Source organism: Homo sapiens, chromosome 1 (assembly GCF_000001405.40).
Source record: "Homo sapiens chromosome 1, GRCh38.p14 Primary Assembly".
Classification (NCBI taxonomy): domain Eukaryota; kingdom Metazoa; phylum Chordata; class Mammalia; order Primates; family Hominidae; genus Homo; species Homo sapiens.
Genome location: NC_000001.11, coordinates 204,686,473 through 204,708,610, shown reverse-complemented (window position 1 = coordinate 204,708,610; position 22,138 = coordinate 204,686,473). Strand labels below are relative to the sequence as shown.

At 48.4% G+C, this 22,138-nt stretch overlaps 1 pseudogene, besides 2 other annotated features; it reads left to right on the top strand.

Moving 5' to 3' along the window:
- On the top strand, nucleotides 1,181-1,291 carry RNA5SP75 (RNA, 5S ribosomal pseudogene 75; annotated as a pseudogene).
- Nucleotides 14,157-15,108: an enhancer, noted in NCBI's record as "H3K27ac-H3K4me1 hESC enhancer chr1:204662631-204663582 (GRCh37/hg19 assembly coordinates)". NCBI's record gives its function as "activates a minimal SCP1, AML or CMV promoter by ChIP-STARR-seq in naive H9 embryonic stem cells {active_cell/tissue: H9 hESC(naive)}" and the evidence as "EXISTENCE:reporter gene assay evidence [ECO:0000049][PMID:30033119]".
- Nucleotides 15,109-16,062: an enhancer, noted in NCBI's record as "H3K27ac-H3K4me1 hESC enhancer chr1:204661677-204662630 (GRCh37/hg19 assembly coordinates)". NCBI's record gives its function as "activates a minimal SCP1, AML or CMV promoter by ChIP-STARR-seq in primed H9 embryonic stem cells {active_cell/tissue: H9 hESC(primed)}" and the evidence as "EXISTENCE:reporter gene assay evidence [ECO:0000049][PMID:30033119]".

The window sequence follows — 22,138 nt, the reverse complement described above, 5'->3', positions numbered from 1 at the left end:
GAAATGTGGCCCCTGAAATTCCAAGCCTAAATTGTCCTGCAGCTCACAGGCCAGAGACAGAGCTTTTTTTTTTTTTTTGAGATGGAGTCTTGCTGTGTCACCCAGGCTGGAGTGCAGTGGCACAATCTCGGCTCACTGCAAGCTCCGCCTCCCGGGTTCACGTCATTCTCGTGCCTCAGCCTCCCGAGTAGCTGGGACTACAGGCGCCCGCCACCACGCCTGGCTAATTTTTTGTATTTTTTAGTATAGACGGGGTTTCACCATGTTAGCCAGGATGGTCTCGATCTCCTGACCCCGTGATCCACCCATATCGGCCTCCCAAAGTACTGGGATTACAGGTGTGAGCCACCACGCCTGGCCAGAGAAAGAGCTTATATCCTAGCATCAAATCTCAGAGAAGGCACTGTCTGGCTTTGCGTGGGCCGGGTACCCATCCCTGTGAGCAGGTGGGGCTGAGTGGAAGAAAGGAGGCCAGGCTGGCTGGCCCTGCCAATCTGCACAGAATGGGTTTGCCATGGGACAGAGGTCTGGTACTGGGGAGGGGATTTGGAGGGGAGCACAGCAAGTTGTGCTTGACTGACAAAACTACTGCCCTGGGCTGCTGAGGAGGCTGGACACATAAACGCAGCGCAGAATGTAGACGGGGGCACGTACCACAGAAGCAAGCGCAGATCGATATTCCAGAGTGCACTTAAAAGCTGAGAGGAGTCCTGGTGTTTGAGGTCAGGTGGAGTTAAACAGGCAAAGCTCACAGTGCGAGAAGAATCTTGACCAGGAATTGCAAGAAAGAGTGCAACAAGTTTTGAGGTAGAAGAGGCTTGCCCTTGCAGATGCCTGGGGACAAGGATGGGGTTTGCTGAAGGAATACCCTGAGGAAGAAGAGTGCAATTTCTCAGAGGATGCTGGAAACCCCAGGCCCCACCCGTCCCACACACCTAGCCCAAGGCCCTTACCCCTCTGCTCCCAGTTACAGCATAGGATGCTTGCCCACCCACAGTGGTGGGGACCAGCTCTTGGGAACCTGCAGTCTTAGAAGAAAAACCTGCATAGCTTTACTCCTTCCAGAGGGAGAAACAGGGATGGGGGAGGGGGGGTTAAGTCCTATGGAAATTAGCAATAGTGCAGCGGGGACAGGAAGGAATTGAGAATTGAACGGGGGAGAGGGAGAGAGAGAGAGAGACACTAGAGCCATACCCCCCGGAACACACCTGACTTCCTTTGATCTGGGAAGCTAAGCAGGCCTGGGCCTGGTTAGTGCTTGAATGGGGGAGAGAGACAGAGGTTTTAGCCTGTGAAAGGAGCAGAGTATGGAATGGAGAAGAAAACAGGGGCAGCCCTCACTGTTGTCATGGCAACACAGACACATCCAACTGTGCCCATAAACTCCACTGTGTGTGAGTCTTTTCCTAAGCCAAAGCCCCAGGACAGAAAGGAACAAAGAGAGCCCCAGGTGGGGGGCTCACCCCCAGAGACCCTGCACCTTTCCTGGCTGGGCACTGCCAGGGGCAGGAGTAGGGGATTCCTTTCAGAGGTCGCCTCTCCCTTGGAGCAGACGGAGGAACGCTTCCCATGCCAAGTCTTTTGCTACAGAAAGGAATATAATGGTAGACACGTGGTTTGTGCATGAGGCATGGTTGGGGCCCTGGGGTCGGGGGAGAGATCTCCCATCAGGTGGGCACAGAGGGTGGCACAGCCCTGCTCACACATCCCCATGAAGCCCAGGAGCTCGCCACCAGGACCGTGCCACCAGGCGAGGCACAGCCTTGCTTCCTTCTCCCCAGGTTGGGGTGTGCTGGGCTCCAGATGGATTTTAGGAAGGCAGATTCCTCAGTTAGCTGGAGGAGGAGTCTCTGCCAAGCACCCGCAAAGCTGAGCTTCCCCCACCCTCCTCTTCTTATCTCTCTCCCTTTTCATTTTCTTGCCCCCACTTCCTCTGCTTATCTTCTTTCCGCTCTCGTTTTCTTTTCTACTCGCCTCGCCTCTTTCCCCGCTCACCCTGTCCTCCTTCCTCTTCCTCTTCCCCTCTCCGCTGTCTGTCTGTCTCTAGTTCCCTTGGTCTCTCTCCTCTATCCCCACCTGCCTTCTCTCTATTTAAATGGATACTGAAGCCAGAGGAGTAGGTGGAAAAATACTGCACTGGGGACAGCAGGGAGGAATGTTTTGGCGTTAGGCCTTTTCCTTCCTGCCACAGTAGAACCAGAGCAGAGATCCTGAGAGCCATTACCACTCACCCACGCACCCCCTGCACTCACAGCCAACACCCCAGCCAACACCGCCTCTGTCAGGTAGCAGGAGGCAAGAAGTCAGGGAAGGAGACAACAGTCACACCCCAGCCCCCTCTTGTGTACCCTGCAGCCAATTTTGATTCCAAACCCAAGAGGAAAGTGGAACTTTCCTAAGTTTGCTTCATCTTGGGGTGAAGCCTCATGGAAACTCTAGGTATTCTGCCATTTGTAATTTGTCCAAAGCCAAAGTTGACTCATCACCCCCCTGCTCCACAACTGAATTGTGTACTGATCACCATGGTGGGAGGAGGGCTGGGTCCCTGCTCCTGGGGAGTCGCAGAGTGGCTGGAACACCTGCCCCAGGCCTGTGTGCTTGATGGCCCCAGAGCTGGGGCTGGGAGGACAGAGGTGGGTCTGAACATCTGGAGCTGAACAGGTTTGTTTAGAAGAATTTTCAGAACTGAAACCAAAGCTCAGAAATGAGGACAATCTTTTAACTCCTATTCTGCTAATATGGAGCTACTTCTTATGTTGTAAACCCACCCGGTGAGATGGAGCCTATTCCTAGAGGTCCATAAACACATTTCCTGAAGCTCAGGACCCTCCCTTGGGGGAGCAGTTACCCACCAAGGAGCCACTCTACTGCGGACAGCTATAGTAGGAATAAGCTATAGCCAAAGGGAGCCCCAGGATGTCAGCCTAGTGCCCCAAAGGGAACTCTTGACCCAAGAAACTCCTTCAAATGCATGCAGATTGACATTCAGTCACCTGAACGTCTCCTGGGTCCGGGTGCAGGCTGAGGGTGGTAAGGAATGGGGCTGTAGCCCCAGGAGCCTTCACTCATGCTCCAGGACACCACACTGTAGAAAAATACGGGTCCCTGGGTGCCGTAGGCAGCAGGGGGTGGGTGGTGATCAGCCATCAATCATCCGCTGTTGGGGATGTGTGTGTGTACTGTATGTACGTACTTACCCTCACTGGCTTGCATGTGATTGGGGGAGTCTTTGTTTATCTATGTGTGCATGTTTGTGGGTGTTTTTATCAGTGTGAAAAGGTGTAGTTATGCGTATATTTTACATATCTCTGTTTGGGGCAATCTATGTAGGTACAGATGGATCTGGACAACTCGTGTGTGTGTGTGTGTGTGTGTAAAATGAAACATACACACACTACACAGAGAAAAAGCACTAGAGAAGAATGGGCAGGCCAGCACAAGTGGTGAAAGAAAGTACAGCCTATTTAAGGCCTTATAGAGTTCTTAGCTTCCTTCTAGTGTTTGCCATAGTCCATCTCTGCTAATCTTAATGGTTGTTATAGAATCTTAGTCACTCTAGAACACTTTGACTTTTCAGAGCTGTTTCTTATCTATTTGATCCTCATAACAATTTCACAGGGATCCCTTTCCTAACTTCCAAGATAAAAGTTCTGAACTCAGAGAGGTTAAGTGACTTGCCTAAAGTCACACAGCTCCTTAGATTGGACAAAATGCTACCTAGATAGTTCCAGTAGGTGAGAAATGTCATCTATATCAAAGAGAAATGGTACATTGCTTTGCAGCTCATTCATCTAATATGCAACAGGTCTAACATTGGTCTAATACAGCCTGGAACTTGCCCCCCTAAGACCTCCTAAGTCTCGACTAGGGTCATATGTGAGTGCAGCTGCCCTGCAGGATGAGGGAATAAGTAAAAAATTAAAATGCCTGGAAAAAACCAGCCCCCACTAGACTTGTGTCCTAGCCCTCAATGTCAATTTATTTGCATGCATGCACACACACACACACGGCCTGGGTGCCCTCTCCCTGTGCACTCCGGGTGTCCTCTCCCTGCCTATTGGCATCCTTGTGACCAGGCCTGCTCCCAGAGCAGAATCCCAGATCTATAAGAGGGAGCAGTTTCAGTTCCTGCTCTCCAAGCTGTCCTCATGTGGGCAGGATGCACATGCAAAATGACTTAACACCGTCAAAGAAAACACACAAACAAACGCAGAGTAATAACCCAGCTGTAGAAGCTTTATACAGCCGTGCCAGGGGGCGGACGGATGAGTGGAGAAACAGAACCGGGGGTGCTGAGTCAAAGCAGCTGTGTTCTGTGTTCAGGAACTGAACTCTAAGGGCAAGCTCTAGCTGGTACCTATGCCTCAAGGCCTCTTGCATAGTCTGGCATGGAGCACTATCGAATGGATGCCTTAGACCCCATGGGCTCTGACCCAGGGTCCGAGGCACCTGCGGGGCCTGGAGCAGAAAGGTGAAGTGACAGGAGACCAGACAGACTGTCTCTGCCAAGGGGTAGAACAAGTGCCTCCATATAGGCCTCAGGCCAGCCTCCTCCTGTGGCCACCGATGCAGTCGATGGCTGCCAGAAGATCTGGCCTGCCCTGGCAGCTCCTCAAAGCTGCACCAGGACTCCATCCTCAGTTCTGCAGGGCTCCTTCTCCATTAGATTAACTGGCCTCCTGAACAAGCTGGGAGAGAAGAGGCCACGGTACACAGAGGGAAACTGAGCCCGGGGCAGAAAGGAACTGGGCATTGGGTCACGCTGGACTCTGGAGAGCCAGACCTGCCGGCCTTCTTCTTCTGGCACTTCCTCCGCCCCACTGGCCTCATTTGAGGTCTTCTGGAAGTTGATTTAAACCAAGCTTTTAAAAAAAATCTCTATCTGGTATCCCTTGGTTTACTTTCCCTAGGCTCCAGTTCCCTGCTTGTAATTTGGATCGCCCTGAAAAGATATAAACATCTCTCTGTTTGAAGAGCCTCTGAGGAGCCAACAGCGGCTCTCCGGTCCTTCTGTGATCAGAGAAAGCACTTGGGAGTAGGGAGACACGGGCCCTCCTACCCCTGCCCCTGTCTGTGTCCGAGCCTCAGGACTGAGACCTGGGGGTGCTGGAGAGGATGAGGCCCTGATGGGTCTGAAGAGTGTGCAGGGAGCTGGAGGGCGGGGAGCACTTCTGCTCCCTGCACCATGGCTGGTGCTGCAGTTTACAGCCAGGCACCTAATTTATCAGCTGTTTTTACTGCTGTTGTCAAACAGCCACAAACCAAAGAAATAAAGTAGCCAGAGGAACAATGTCTCCCCTCCACCTTGGCCCTCCCAGCCTGTCTGCTGTGTCAGGTCCTCTGTCTCCAAGGCTGGAGAGCCGAGGTCCTCTGGTGACAGATCTTCCAAAGTGATTCCCTTGGGGCCCTGAGAGGGTGGGAGACATATTTAAGGAAGCTAGTGGGGAAACCAAAGCCAATTGCATGGGACAGCCAGTTGGGAAGCTCCCAGGATCCCTCCAGAGAAAGGGGCACAGGTCCAAACCTTGCTGCCTTCTAGCCAGGCATACCTGGAAACTGCTCTTGAGTCCATGCGGCTACCTCACCAGCTTCTCCCTGGTGCCAAGGGGAGAAGGGCCAATGATGATGTCTGGCAGAAGGAAGGTAGCGATGGTCACTCTGGGGCTCTATCCCATTCAGGGGACAGCCCAGCCCTCCCCCTGCTCACCCACAGCCCCCATGGTCCCCACCACACTGTCAGTACCTGATGGCCAGATCAGCACTTGATGGCACGGTGCTGTTCCCTTGTGGGGAATGGTGTATGAGTCATGTCTTCTACACCATGACACCTCAGGGCACTTTGGTCTCCCCTTTCTCATCACTCGTGGGCCAGTCCACAGTAAGCCAGTGATCAATAAATACACAGGGAGTGAACTGAGCGATTCTGGAAAGAAAAGGTAGGCAAGAGCATTGCCCCTGAAGAAGGTAGCAGGCAGGCATGAGGGTGCTGAGTGTGGAGTGTGAGGGAACCACCCAGGGAAGAGCTAGGAATGACCCCAGGGACTCCCGCTGACACGGCCATGGACTCTTGAGGAGAAGTTGGCCATTTCCAACAGTCACTCTTCTATATTCCACTTCCATGGTGGGCCTTGAACATAGATGTGTTTGGTCAGGTGCTGAGAGCTCCAAAAGTTCTCTGCAGCGACAAATGTCAAGCACAGCCTCCCATTAATCATGATGGAGGAACACGGAGCAGAGTGGTGGCCTCTCCCAGGGCCTCCAGGAATGCATCATGGAGGAGGCAACACTTTGAGTAGAGTATAGAAGACTGAGTTTCCTGGCTACAGAACAGGAGACAGCTATTTCAAATCATGAAAAGCAAGGTGGGTCATGGCCACTCAGTTGCTGAATCCTATTTGCCCACCACAGATAACCAGCTCCTGCCACAGCTCAAGGTCAAGACAACTCTCTCTCTACAGCCACCCAAACCACAAGCTCACCTAGAGCCATTCAGAAATCCCTCTCCTTAGCACTGCCAGCCTAAGTAACTCTCCTCTCTGCCTTCTTTATCCCAGACACAGATGGATGACAGAATCCCCTCTTCTTTTTCCTCTTGTCCCAGCCTGGGCATCCCTCTGCCAATGGCAACTGTACTTGGTGTCACCCATCTCCCTTCGTTACAACCCTTCATGCTTAACCAGAGAAATGGTGAAGAGTGCAGCTCACTTATCTAATATACACCAGGTCTAACATTGGTCTAATACAGCCAGGAACTTGCCTCTCTAAGACCTCCTAAGCTTGGACCAGGGTGAGATGTGAGTGCAACTGCCCTGCGGGATAAGGGAATAACTAAAAATCTAAAGTGCCTGGAAAAAACCAGTCCTTGCTAGACTTGTGTCCTACACCTCAATGTCAATTTGTTTGCATGCAATAAGTCCCCCACCTCTCTTCTATCCATCCACCACAGCCTCTGTTAGTCAAATATCCATTCAACAACCACATATGGGTCCACTCCGTGTAAGGAGAATGATAGATGCTAGGCAAGTAACCTTGACTGATATTTAGTCTCTGCCCTTGAGGAGTTCACAGTTGAGTAGAAAATCATGACACAATGGTCAAGAGTGCTATCAAAAACCACCTATCTGAACCATCTCATTACAAGAACATTGGGAAAGACTAAATGACTTGCAACATCAGAGAACAACACTGCAGAGAAGGAGCTGGACCATTGTACTCTTCCCAGAATCATATTGTAACATGCATGGATTTGTTATCCATGCATATTGTAACATCCATGGACCTGGCCTTGACTCCTGGCACTGCCATTTGCTAGCTGTGTGACGTTTAGAATGTTACCCAACATGTCTGAGTCTTAGTTTCTTCCTATATAAAACAAGGCGAGCAATGCCTTGCTTACAGGATTAGAATAAGGATCAGGGTGGCCGGGCGTGGTGGCTCATGCCTGTAATCCCAGCACTTTGGGAGACCGAGGCGGGGGATTACCTGAGTTCAGGAGTTCAAAACCATCCTGGCCTATATGGTGAAACCCAGTCTCTACTAAAAATACAAAAATTAGCCGGGTGTGGTGGTGCATGCCTGTAGTCCCAGCTACTTGGGAGGCTGAGGCAGGAGAATTTCTTGAACCCAGAAGGCGGAGATTGCAGTGAGCTGAGATCGTGCCACTACACTCTAGCCTGGGTGACAGAGTGAAACTCCATCTTGGAAAAAAAAAAGAAGAAGAAGAAGGATCAGGGTAAGATGCTGGAAAGTGCCGCACAACATAATGAATTCAGTAGGTAGCTTACAGGAGCGGTTGTGGCAGAAGGAAGGGTAATGATAATAGCAAACACGACTGTGTGTCAGAGGCTCCACATGTACTTTCTCACATCACGCCTCTGAAGCAGGCACTTTTCATTTTTAGGACAGTTGAAGAAAATGAATCAGAGAATGCAAGGAACTTGCCTAAGGTTACCCAGCTAAGAGGTGGGGAGAGGCACCACCGTGGGTCCCAACTGCGGTCCTGTCTGTGGCTCTGCTGGCCTGCTCTGACTCTCAACCTATAAACATGTATGGAGTCCCTGAGGTTTACAAGCACTCTGGGGCTATGTAGCAGATCACTGTAAAATCCTGGCCCTCAAGGTTCACAGGGAGTTGAAGTAGTCAGGGAAGGCTTCAGAGAGGAAGCAGGGACTCCACATGGGCCTTGAAGAACGTAAATATTATAGAAAAATGGGGAGATACAGATAGACATTCTCACAGATAGAAACGGCATGAGCCAAGGACCAGAGGCAGGATTAGTGCCGGTATAAAGAGGTATGTTTTCTCTTTTTTATTGTTGTTGTTTTGTAGAAATGGAGTCTCGCTATGTTGCCCAGGCTGGTCTCAACTCCTGGCCTCAATTGATCCTCCTGCCTCAGCCTCCCAAAGTGCTGGGATTGCAGCCATGAGCAACTATGACCAGCCAGGAGAGGGTTTTTTGGTTTTTGATTTTGAGACGTTTCACTCTGTTGCCCAGGCTGGAGTGCAGTGGTATGATGTTGGCTCAATACAACCTTCACCTCCCGGGCTCAATCGATCCTCAACCTCAGCCTCCCAAGTAGCTGGGACCACAAGTGTGCACCACCATGCCTGGCTGATTTTTGTATTTTGTGTAGAGATGGGGTTTCACCACATTGCCCAGGCTAGTCTCCGCCTGCCTTAACCTCCCAAAGTGCTGGGATTACAGGTGTGAGCCACCATGCCCAGCCAGGAGAGGGGTTCTTGAGTACCACATTTACATATCATCTTTTCATTCACTCATTCATCTCTTTACCCATTCAACACATATCTCTTGAGCACCTACTATTTGTCAGGCATTGTTCTAAACCTTGGGAATAGATAAACAAGGATGCAGCTCTCAACTCAGTCTAGTTGGCAAAACAGTGCAATGTGAAAATGTTAGGGTAGACAATATAGGGTGGTAGGGGACCCAGAGGAAGGGCTCTTGATCTATCCCTGTGGAGTCTGGCAGGGTTTCCTAGAGGAAGTGGTGTCTAAGCTGAAACATGAGGGACGCATATACGGAATGATTTCAAAACATTCATACTCACTATCATCATGATCAGCATTGTCAAAATCACTTGCATTTACTGAGGCCTCACTAAATGCCAGGGACCAGATTAGGTACTTTATATATATTCTCTTCTAATACTCATGACAACCCTATCAGGTAGATGCATGCTATTCATTACGCCTATTTAAAGATAAAGAAATGGAAGTAAAGAGTGTTTACAAGACTTGCCCAAAGTCACGTGGCCAGGAAGTGGCAGGGTCAGGGCTCAAACAAGGTCAGATGGGCCTTATCCTTTGTGTCCTTAGCCGCTTGCCAGGCTAGATGGCAGAGAGAAGCATGCTCAGGCCCATCAGGTGAGTGTGAGTGTGAGTGTGTGTGTGTGTGTGTGTGTGTGTGTGTGTGTGTGTGCTGGGTGTTTAACCCATCAGGGGATGTTTCCAGTGTGCCCACAATACTCCTCAGTGTCATACCAACTGTCCACACCCTCAGCAGCTCAGCCTTCCTGCCCCCGGGCAGGGGTAATCCTTCAGAGTATAAACTCAGTGCTTCAAAATGCCAGAGCATCGAAAGACAAAGTGGCTCCCAGAAGGCCAAGGACGTCTTTTTCTTGAGCTTCTCCTACCCCTCAACCCCTCCTGAAGAATTGGCCCATGGGAAGTAGAGAGTGGGGCATGGATTCCAAGTTTTTGCCAGGGAAGCTCAGGTAGAATCCCACATCCTGTTGTCACCAAACTCTCCCAGTTAACAAACCAGAACTGCCCACTGGAAATAAACTTCTGGAACTTGTACTCCAAGAGAGACAGCATGAAGTTGCATGCTTGGTTGCAGACCTTTTCTGCCCTAAATCACTGTGGGGTCTGTCCAGGTAAGCCTAGTCTGTTTGAAAGGAGATAAGAAAAAGAGTGAGACGCTCTCCTGGCTGATTGTCTACCTTCCTGGAGCCCCACAAGATCAGGATTCAAAAGATAGGGGTGAGGGCCGGGTGTGGTGGCTCAAGCCTGTAATCCCAGCACTTTGAGAGGCTGAGGAGGGTGGATCATGAGGTCAGGAGATTGAGACCGTCCTGGCTAACACGATGAAACCCCGTCTCTACTAAAAATACAAAAAATTAGCCGGGCGTGGTGGCAGGCGCCTGTAGTCCCAGCTACTCTGGAGGCTGAGGCAAGACAATGGCGTGAACCCGGGAGGTGGAGCTTGCAGTGAGCCAAGATCGGGCCACTGCACTCCAGCCTGGGCGACAGAGCGAGACTCCATCTCAAAAAAAAAAAAAAAAAAAAAAAAGTTGGGGGTGGGCCTAGATGGTAATGCACAGGGCCAAAGTGTGATGGAACAGGAAAAAGCCTATGTCTTTCTCTTCCAGACATTTGGGCAGAAAAGTGAGAGTTCTGAGCTCCTAGGTTGTTCCTGGGTTGTAGGGAGGGGATGAGGGTGATTGAATGAATCAAGCCTTGGAACGGCTCTTTCAGCGCCTAGGGCAGGGAGGATTATATACTCCCTGCCAACTGCAGGGCCAAGCCTGGCATCACCAGGAGCACGTCACGGGATCAAGGAACGCAGACTTGGCCCAAAAACAAAGCAGCAGCAGAAGGCAAGTCCTATAGTAATTGAATTCAGGATCTTCCTTAAACTTGAAGGTGAAGCTGATTAGGCTTAGGATAAACAAATAAGCAAAATAAGTTTATAGTTCTACTTCACAGGGTAGATAATCCACTTAGAATACAATACCCCAAGAGGAGGCAGGAGTCAGAAATATACAGGGCTCCCAAATGAGATTATGATGACTTGGGGAAAATGGATTCATTGTAGGTTAGGAGAAGTAAAGCATTTTAGCTATATTCTTAATATTTGAGAATGCCAGAAGAATCTGGCTCTTCTGAAACCACCCCGAACGTCATGCCAAGATCAAAGGCAGACTGGGGGCTGACAAACAGTGGGAATATAAAAGCTGAAGTTTCTTTTTTAAAAAACATTTATTTTGAAACGATTATAGATTCATAGGAAGTTGCAAAATAGTAGAGAGCAGTCCCACGTACCCTTCACCCAATTTTCCCCACCAGTAATATCTTACATAACTACAGTAAAATATATCATATTATATTGAGAAATATAATTTATTCATTTCATTGGTTAAAATATCAAAAGCAGCAAAGGGACATTTGAACTGAATCTGTCCTCACAGGGTTAACAAGAATTCTGGACAGAAATAGAGTTATAATTAAACTTTAATCAGGCTGCACTTTGATCCACTTCATTGTAACCAAAAGTCGTGCAACACGGGATACTGACCACTTGCATCCCCGTCGTTCCTATAGATGGAATTTCTGATGTTAGATTCACTCAGCTTTTGTTTAAGAATTGCTCAAGATGTTTTTCAGATACCAAATTCCAGTGAAACAGCTGGTGTCAGTCAGTTTGAAGACCCCCACCGAGGAACAGACTCATCCCAAAAATACAATTTCTTTATCTCCCCGTCCCATGACTTCTCTGTATTCTGTGACCAGTCAACAATCCCCACTTTGGCTCACTCCAAAACCCTTAAAAACCCTAGCCCTGGACTCCTTGGGGAGATGGATTTGAGGTTTTCTCCTATCTCCTCATTCGGTGTCCCCAAGATTAAATTTCTTTCTCAGCTGCAGCCTGGTGTCTCAGCATATTGACTTGCCACACACATCGGGCCATGGACCTGTTACAGTTACAATACAATCTACAGATCTCATTCAGATTTTGCCGGTTTTAAAGAACTCAATTGCGTATGTGTGTGTGCGCGCGCGCGCGTGCGCGCGTGTGTGTTTAGTTCCATGCAATTTTACCACGTGTGAAGATTCATGTAATCACGCCATAATCAAGACACGGAACTGTTCCATTCACAAAGATCCCTCACGCTCTCCTTTTATAGTCATACCATATCCTTCATCCCCAAGCCCTGGAAACCACTCATCTGTTCTCCATCTGTGTAATTTTGTCATTTTGAGAATGTCTTATGAATGGAGTCATGCAGTACCTTTGAAATTACCTTTTCTTCACTCAACACAATGCCCTTGAGATCTATCCAAGTTGTTGCATGTATCAATAGTTCATTCCTTTTTGTTGTTGAATAGTATCCAGTGGCAAGATGTACCACAATTTGTCTAATCATTCAACCATTGAATGACATTTGGGTTGTTTCCAACTTGGGGCCATTACAAATAAAACTGCTATGAACCATCATGTACAGGTTTTTGTGTGGACATGTGTTCATTTCTTTGGGCAAATGTTTAGTAAGGTGATTGCTGGATCATATGGGTAAGTATATGTTAAGTTTTTAAGAAACGGCAGTTGGGGGTAAATGGACAGTTAGGAACATCTGGGAACCATGGCAGGGGGTCTCCATTGCAGGGTCAGAGGTGTCCATTAAGTCTCGGCTGGGGCCTGGCTGGGAAGGGAACAGATAATGATCACCCTAGAGAGACTGAGACTGCAGCTGACACAGCTGGGACATGACCAAAGGCAATTGGAAGGAAGAGCTATCTGAACTCCAAAGCTATTCAAAGCAACCTACGGAGAACTCAGAAACAAATTTTAATCAGCAGAGTGACACTGGCCTCCAATAAACCTCTAACCATGCTGGAAAGATAGGCTGCCCAGAATGATTCTCAAGCCATAATAGTGTACTGGTAAATCAGAGCCCTGTACACAAACAGCGCAATCAAAGAGGCTTAGTTGTTCACTAAGGAGTTTTGTGGTCCGGCCCCAGCCTCCCTCAGGCTCTGTGTCACGTGACTGGAGGGGCTGCCAAGTGGAGGACACCAGCTCATTCCCTCATTCCCTCAATAAACATTTGCTGAGGCCCTACTATGTGCACAGGCCTCGGACCAAAACCAAAGAAGCCAGTATCTAAACAGGTGGTCACATTTAGAGGTGAATCATAAGTTGTGCCAATCAGGATGTTGAGGACTTCGGTCTTGTGAAGTCCTAGGATACCTTAGGAAAATTACCATCCTACCAGCTAGAGCTTCTTAACACAGAGCAGGTTATAGGGCATGTGGATGAGGCAGGGTGTCAAGGCCTTAGGAACAATGGCTAATACTGGGCACCTTGTCAGGTGCCAGGTGCCTGCCCTGTGCCAGGCACAGCACAATAGTTTAAAAGGGTAAAATTTATGCAACATTTGTTTGTTGAATTTCCTACTATGTGCCAGAATAACCAAAGAAGACTCTGATTTCACAGAATAGGGAGAGCTACTTGGACAAGAGACAAAAGGGTGCTTTAATAGTCTCAGCCCAAGATGGCCAATGCTTTCTTGATTTCCTGTGCTAGAGATTAAGGCAGCCATTCAGCAATTCTCCAGTAGGGAGGGGTGAGGGAGCTGAATCTCCAATTTGGGATTTAAGTAGAGTTTGAAAAAGCATATTCAACATGATGCTATAATTCTATATTTGAAATTAGTATTAAAATAAAATAAAAAGTATTTTAATTTAATTTTTATAATAAAAACTAGAGTAAGTCAGGCTTGATAAAATGGTCTTAGCTAGTGCAGAGACATAGAAAAGAACCAACTCTCAACTGAGGACAAATTCTGGAGCAAAATGCAGTAGAATCCCCAAAAGTATGTATAGTATTTTTGTTTATTACAAAGAAAGTTTGAGTGAAAAGAAAAAATGATTTTAAATATTGTATTGGGGGGTTATCATAATCACCTGGCCCTATGCACTTTCTCAATTGACAGACCCTCTCCCATGCAAAGTCAGAAAGTGCAACCTTCGGAACACCAGTCAGGGGGCCTTAGATGCCTCTCTTCTCATCTCTCTTTGAAATGCTGTCTCCTTCCTCCAAGAAGTCTTTTGTGAGTGTCAGGTTGTTCTGCTATTCTCTGAAGGTCATGCTAGGAAGAAAGCTCCCCTTGCTTTGGAAACTGCCTGGAGCCAGACCTGGCTGAAAACTCCCCCGTGTTGGTGGATTTGTCAGGGGGTCGGCCTGGGCAGTAGGGGTCCCTCAGCATGAAGCATTCCCTTCGCCAAATGCGGTAGTAGGAGAGCAGGAAGTAGGCAGCAGGAGACCACAGGGTCTCCATCCTGAAGCACCCGCTAAACAGCATCTGGCAGCCCCTAAAATGTTCTAAACCTCAATCAGTGGAAAAGGAGCAAGATCAGCTTCTTCTCTTTGTCCTTAAGAAAAAAAAGATACATTCCAGATAATTTCACCGTGATGAAAGAGGAAGAAGCGCTGAAGTAGCAAAGGAAATAAATTAACGCCATCTCAGCTAAAATCACACACAATTAAAACCTGGATCTGAATGTACTTTCCTGTTCAGAGAGAGCAGCTTGAAAATGACATGCATTAGTCATTCACTCCAGCCACCCGACTCAATGTATGGGGATGCCACACCATCTCTGATGGCAGGGCCGCGGGAAGGAGAGGGGAAGGGTTCATGACCCCAGTCTTCAGCTTTCTGTTCTCTCGTCTGGGGTCTGAAAATCCCACTCCTCCATGGCGGAGGTATCCGAGTGAGCCAGATAAGCCAGGTGGGAAGAGACCTCTCTCCAGTGGCCACTTCACCATCTTCCCTTCACGTTGGGACATGCCAAGGGAGAGGTTCGGGTCTGGGGCCCGGGAAGGGATTTGGTCCGAGAGCCACTTATGCGGGCAGGCACAGCAATGGCGGAGCTCCTGCCCACTCTGCCCAGGGTCATGGCCTGCATGGAGGCTACCCAGCATTTTGGGGGTCACCCCCTCATCTCCTGCCTTCAGACAGTCAGTCTCCCTCAGCTCAGGGAGATGGGAGTTTTTCTCTTCTTTCTCCTACTGTTTTTCTTCCTCTTCTCTTTTAATTTTTCTTCTTTTGGCGGGGGGGAAATAAAGAACAATCTTCTGCAAAGGAGATGGATTAATGTGACTGAAAAAAAGAAGACAGAAAAGACCACGAACCAAAAGGTCCCCAGGTGCTGACATACTGAGGCCAGTGACCAGTGACAGGCTCTTCTTCATGTTCCCTGAGGGTAAAATAGGAAGGAATGTGGTTGGTGGCAGGAGAAGCAATAAGAATAAAATATAAGGATGAGCTTTCTGACAGTCAAGATTTTAATCCCTTTGACAAGTGACTCTTGGGATATGGGATCTCTTTTCCATGAAAGGCAGAAGAGTTGTGGAAGGAAAATGAAGGGAAAAAACAAAAAGAGAAACAAAACCAGTGGACTCAGCATCAGAGGACATGGGCCTGAGGCTTGTTCTGGCCTCTTCCTGGCTGGGGGAATAGGCACTGTGAGCCTCATCAGGACCGGATGAGGCAACACGGACCGCTCCCAGCACAGACTCAGGGACTCAGGGTCAGTTTTACCAAGTTGCTTATCATACAGGCCAGCTCCTATGGACAGGAGAATGGGCCAAGCTGACCTCTGCCTGAAGAGCCACTTCATCTAGCAACAAGACTGTCTCCAGGCCACACCTCCCTCAGCCCTCTTTCTTTCTTTCTCTCTCTCTCTCTCTCTCTCTCTCTCCCTCTCTCTCTCTCTCCCTCTCTCTCTCTCTCTCTCTCTCTCTCTCCTCTCTCTCTCTCTCTTCATTGTCTGGATCCAGGCCTCAGGATGCTTGCCTTAGGCCGCCCAGTGGGGCTGGGACTAGGGTGAGGCAGGGGAGGTGCCTAGGCCAAAAGTTAAGGAGGCACTCAACCCTCAGGTTCTGCAAGTACAGGGTCAGCGCCTCAAAGTGAGTGCCTCCTTAAATTTTGTGCCCCGGGGAACTAGCTTGCCTTACCGAGTTTTAGCCCTACAGCTCAGCCCTCTGTCTTTGCTACTATTAGATGTGTTTCTGGACACAAGAAAGAATATAATAGCCCTTGATGAAGCTACAGTCCCCAGGGGGTCATCTGGACTCAATAGTTTTTACGATTCACTTCTTCCTAAGGAGGTGAGAGGAGAGGACAAAGTCAGACCCAAAGCACCCAATCAACAATGCTGTTTGATCCAGGACATAACACTGATTCCCCCTGCCCTGAGCACTCCTGGATGGGGATCCCCACTCAGCAGGTAGGGGCTGGTAGGGGCAGTGGGTAGATGAGAGGCTTCCTTCCCAGGCAGGTAGAGTCTGTGGGAAGTCTGCCATGAGCAAGGCCCTCCAGTGGGCACTCTAGGGAAATAGCAATGAATGATACAGTTCTTTGGGGGAATTTATCATTTAATAGAGAGGGAGGATACCCAGAGAAAGTAACTTTTCAGGCAAAATGCAAATGATTGCAAATAAACATAAAGTGGCATAAACCAAGACTATTCCTGCAGAAGGGAAGTGGAGTGGCGTGACCAGAATCAAGAGTGAATGGGGGAAAGCTTTCTGGGAGGAGCTGAATTTTCTCCACGGTTTACAGTGTTCCTCCAAGTACGGTCTTCGGACCACCTGCATCAGAATCCCTTGGGGAGAAGGTCAAAAATGCAGTTCGTGAGCCCCACTTGAGACTTACTGGGTAAAACCCAGGAGTCTGTATTTTAATCAATTCCCCAAGTGGTTCTTCTGCACACACAGTTTCAGAAACACTAGTTTAGACAGAAAAAAATAGACCCATGGAGTAGCTGCTGGGAAAGACCTTAGGAAAGATCTTTAGACATCCCCATGAGCTCTGAGATCTATGTTGGAATTAATTCAAATATTGGAAATAAGACCACAAAGACTTCCTTCTCTGACAGAAAATAAGAAGGAAAATATAGAGGTCAGAGACAGTACAAAGAGAAAAGAACAGGATTAGGATACATGAAGTCGCAGTTTCTCTGTCCTGTGAACCATTTCTGAAGTGAAATGTTCAGAAATGAATAGAATCTGATTACAAAAGAAGACAATCAACAGAAATAAAAAGGCTGGATTTGGGCAAATATGTTATTCTTACCATATGGGATACCCCATGTGTATTTTATTTGCATGCTCTGGAAATAAATAACCAAGGCTTGATAGTGACATCTGGAAAGATATACGTTGAACACCATGACTCAGCACACACACGTGTTTACATGAAAAAAAAGTATTCATGAAATGTGTCCTGTTTCATTTTCATTTCAACAAAAATTCTTTTTCATTTTTTTTTTTTTTGAGGTGGAGTCTCACTCTGTTGCCCAGGCTGGAGTGCAGCGGCGAGATCTCGACTTACTGCCACCTCTGCCTCCTGGGTTCAAGTGATTCTCCTGCCTCAGCCTCCTGAGTAGCTGGGATTACAGACGGGTGCCACCACACCCAGCTGATTTTTGTATTTTTAGTAGAGATGGGGTTTCACCATGTTGGCCAGGCTGGTCTCCAACTCCTGACCTCGTTATCTACCCGCCTTGGCCTCCCAAAGCTCTGGGATAACAGGAGTGAGCCACCACACCCGGCCTTTTTTCATTTTTTTAAAAAAGTGCTTGCTGCGACCCACTGATGGGTCTCTACCTGCAATTTGAAAACCAATAAAGCAGAAGGGAGGTGTGGGTGATGGGCACTTGGGGACAGAGTCTTCTTGACAGCCTATGATGGGTCTCAGTGAGGTGGGTCAAAAGTCAACTCAAAAGATGCTTGAGAGTCCCTGGGACTGACCTCTCAGGAAGCCTAACTATTTTGTCCTGCCTTCAAGCATCTTCTCAAGATTTTCCTCCTCCAGAAAGACTTTCTAAATCAGCACTCCAAATGGCATTCCAACTTCAGCTCTTAGAGCCCTCTCAAGTGTCCCCCAGTCTTGGTGTATGCGTGGCAGCCCTTAACTGAAAAGTCATGCACTTCGGAGTAGGCCAGATATACTTGCAAGTGGTGCTGGCTGGCTGGTCTGTTTTCAGATGTGCCATGGGGCACAAAACCCTTGTCCCCCAGCTTCAGACCTCTGAGGCCTCCCTTTTTGCCCATACAGGTTCTGAATGGGGGAAGGGTGGTCACTCCAGTCCTTCCCATGGTCCCTTCTACCTAAAGCATTTCCTTCAGGAATCTTCTGAATATGTTAAACAGAAGAGGATTTGGTTATTGCCCAGTTTAACTGTTTTAGATACTCAAATCCAATTTAAGAAATACAGAGTACACTTTGGGAGGCCGAGGTGGGCAGATCACGAGGTCGAGACCAGGCTGGTCAACATGGTGAAACCCCGTCTCTACTAAAAATACAAAAATTAGTTGGACGTGGTGGCAGGTGCCTGTAATCCCAGTTACTTGGGAGGCTGAGGCAAAAGAACTGCTTGAGCCCGGGAGGCGGAGGTTGCAGTGAGCCGAGATCGTGCCACCGCACTCCAGCCTGGGTGACAGAGCAAGACTCCATCTCAGGGAAAAAAAAGAAAAGAAAAAGAAATACAGGGCCGGGTGTGGTGGCTCATACCTGTAATTCCAGCACTTTGGGAGGCTGAGGCGGGTGGATCACTTGAGGTCAGGAGTTCGAGACCAGCCTGGCCTACATAGTGAAACCCCGTTTCTACTAAAAATGCAAAAATTAGCTGGCCGTGGTGGCACGCGCCTGTAGTCCCAGCTATTCGAGAGGCTGAGGCAGGAAAATCGCTTGAAACTGGGAGGTGGAGGTTGTAGTGAACCAAGATCTTGCCACTGTACTCCAGCATGGGTGGCAGAGCGAGACTCCATCTTAAAAAAAAAACAGAGTAGAGGTGTATCATTTATGGTTGATTAAATATGGTGTCTGTGGTGTTTGTGCTTATGCCTATAAAAAGTTGGGCACCGGGACATTGGTGAGGAATGTAATTTTTATGATCACATTGTTTCTGGGCAAAAACAGGTTCAACCTACATCATTTTTACCTGCAGTGCCTTTTCCAGGAATATAACCCAAGATAAATTTGAAGACTCCCTGCAGTTCCACACAGCTCTGCCATCTGCAACGTGTGTCTCTCTGCCTTTGCGGTTTTCTGTGTTCCAAGGGTGTCTGTGGATCCTGGGAGCTCCCTGAGGGCAGGGGTCAGGGAAGATCCCAGTTCTGTGGGGCCGTCTTAAGAAAAAACCCGCAAAATTCCAAATACAAAATTAGGTACAACAGTGATATTTACTTACGGCCAGCAAGAAGATAACAATTTACATGAGCCTTGGACATTCAGGGTCCCTTTCTCCTGACATTTCTTCATTCCATTTACCAGAAATCCTTACATAAAAATGCTTCCTGTTCGTAAACTGGCTTCCCCTCTTCACCTAGGACACTCTACAGTTCCCAGCTTTCATAGCCCACCCTCTCCCCACCATCCTGCAAGTCGAGAAGCCCTAAAACTTGAGCTTCATTCCCTTCACCTCTGCCTCTGCCTCTGCCTTCACTTGTTCTCTAATAGCCCAGAGAACAAGGCTCTGCACATGGGGAGCCCGGGCAGGGGACGGTCAGAGAGCAATGGGCACCCCCAGGCCAGTCTGTCTCACAGTGAGGTCATCCAACCACCTGAATCAGAATCCCCTGGATGGTTTATCTGAAATGCAGACTCTGAGAACTACAGAATCTGACTCTGGGGTAGGACCTCAGCACCTGCATTGGCCCACACTCTCCAGGTGATTCCAAGGTCCACTGCTCTAGTGCCTTACTCTCTGCCTAGTTGGGTCACTGGTGGGGGACAACAGTCCTCATTGACTCCCCAGACCCCACCCCATATCTCCCAAGGAGGCTGAGCAGAGGCTGCACACAACACACAGTGTCGTGTGTGTGGAGGGTCCACTGAGGGACCCTCAGTGACCCATGCCACATCCCAGGCCTCCCTTCTCTGATTCGGCTCATGTGCCAGGCACCAGTAGGAGCCATCCTCTCCTCACAGCCCCCACCACACAAACAGCATCCCCACCAGTTCCATATCCTGACCCCTATATGAGAGAGCCACCTGGAATTGAGCTAAGGATCATTTCTAGCAGCATGTAATCCCTGCATCCCTCTCCCAAGACACTCTGATGTCACGGAGTTCCAGGCTTCCTGGTGGGAAATAATGCATGGCCAAGCCCAGAAATTAAATTTGGAGGGTGAAAGGTCAATAACAGGGCCATTAAATCCTCTGGGTAATTACCTAAGAGCTTCCAAAGGACTGTGAATTGGGGCAGCTTTTCCCAGGAAAGTATGAGACTCAGAATGGCAGCAATGGGAGCAGGGTTGGGAGAAAAATGTCAACCACATACCATGCACCAGCCACTGTGCTCATGCCAGCCATATAGTCCCTGTAACATCTCACAGCAACCTATAAGTATGAATCCATTCCATTATTGCTATCTTCATCCTAAAGAAGTGCTAGGGAGACTTGGCTTGGTGTTTGGACTCTGTCATTTGAGGACCCTGGATTCCCGTCTTAGCTCTGTTACATACTGGTTAGGTAAACACTGAACCTTGTTTTTCTCCTATCACTAGAGTCCTAGTATTGGTCAAATTTTTGATGAGATGATGCATAAATGTGCTAGCACCTTGCCTTGCATGTAGTAGGTGCTCAATAAATGTTAACTGCTATTACTTGAATTAATATCGTTACTCAGGAAAGAATCAGAGCTGGGGAAGTTCAATACTTTGCCTGAAGCAAGACAGAGTAAATGGACAAGTAGAGTTCCAAATCCAAATCTTTCCAGCTCTAAAAGCTACACTCTTTCTCCAATCTCATTGGGTTCTAAGACATTTGGAGTCAGCTCAAGATAAGCCTTCCCCTATTTTCTTCTCACAGCTGATGAAATTCCCTTATGCCTCATCTAGTACATCTCACAGGCTTTGCCACTCAGGATCAACCACTTAGTGAACGTTACTTGCATTTATCCCATTTATTATTTCAATAATCAGTTATTGGACATCTACTATAAAGGACTGGTCTTATCTTATTAAGGTGTAAGACAGTCATAGGCTCCAGAAGCTTACCCTCTGGTTAGGAGATAAGACACTTGAGTATGCATAGTTATTGGGAAGCTGGGGTGCTGACATGAGTGCTCTCTCCGGTCGTGCAGTTGGTAAAGGACTCCTAAAATGTCCTCCTTTTCACCATCATCCTGTCTACATTGACATTGGCCCTTAGACTGGAAAGGTGGCTCCAGTGACTCGACAAGGGACTCAAATGCTCAGGCTAAAAGCTTGGAGTCAAGTTTTGACCCCTTTCAATCAGTCAGTCTTACAGTTCTGCCAAGTCTTCTTTACAAAGGCCCATGCATTTACTCTATTCTCACTGCTCCCCTCCTCCTAGATTCCTGCAACAGCTACCTCAATAGTCTCCCATCCTCCTGCCTCTTTCATCCCAAATCACCTGAGGATGGGTCCACAGATAAACTGCTGAGCCTGGCAATTCGGGCCCTTCATCAGCTGCTCCCACCCTGTATACTCAATGTGGCATTGTCGCACTGTGAAAATGAGGTCTCACATTCTGCCTACAGATTTTGGGCTACTGCCTTAAACGATCTGGGCCTCCATCCCCCGGTCTGTTAAAAGGGGATATTAGTCAACTCAGAGTCTAAGATGACAGAGATGAGAAAAGGCTGGCATCTAATAGTAGCTCTATAATTTTCCTCCCTTGCCCCCTACCCTCCAGACAACCCATTCTACTCTGCTTGTCTCCACTTTCCTGCCTTTGCTGGTCCCCATATTCTCTTCCAGTTCAAATCCTATCCCTCCAACTAGGCTCAGTTGGAGACTCAGCTCCTCCGTTAAACCTTTTGTGAATAATGCTAGTCCATTAAGGTGGTTTCTTTTTGTATTTCTATGGCACTTCCATCGTCTTGAAATATTAAAATTGGTTTCATATAGTTCCAACCTGTCACTCTGAGCTCCTTGAGGCCATTATGCTCCGTAGCAGGGGTGGAGAGTGGGAACATGGGGGTGGTTTAGTGGGAACTTAATATGTGCTCATTCAATATATGAAGGTGAGAATCCCCTCTGTGCATACAGAACTCAGACCTTCAAGCCAACTTCACAAAAGCCACCAGGCATGGCAGTCACCACTGGCTGTACCCTTGGAAAAGACAGGGCCAGAAGCTCAAGCACTGGATGACGGCAGGCAGCCCAGGGAAGCCACTCCTCACAGGACTCCACACCTTGGCCTCCACCTCATCCATTCCCCTGTTGTTGGTTCTGCAGGCTCTGGTCCAGACCCATCAGTAGGGTGTGGCCTGCCATGGAGCCGAGTTTGTGATGTCTGTTCTGAGTGGTCCAGGCTGAAGTCCCCACCAAGGCATGGGTGTTGGGCATTGGGCCTTTGCC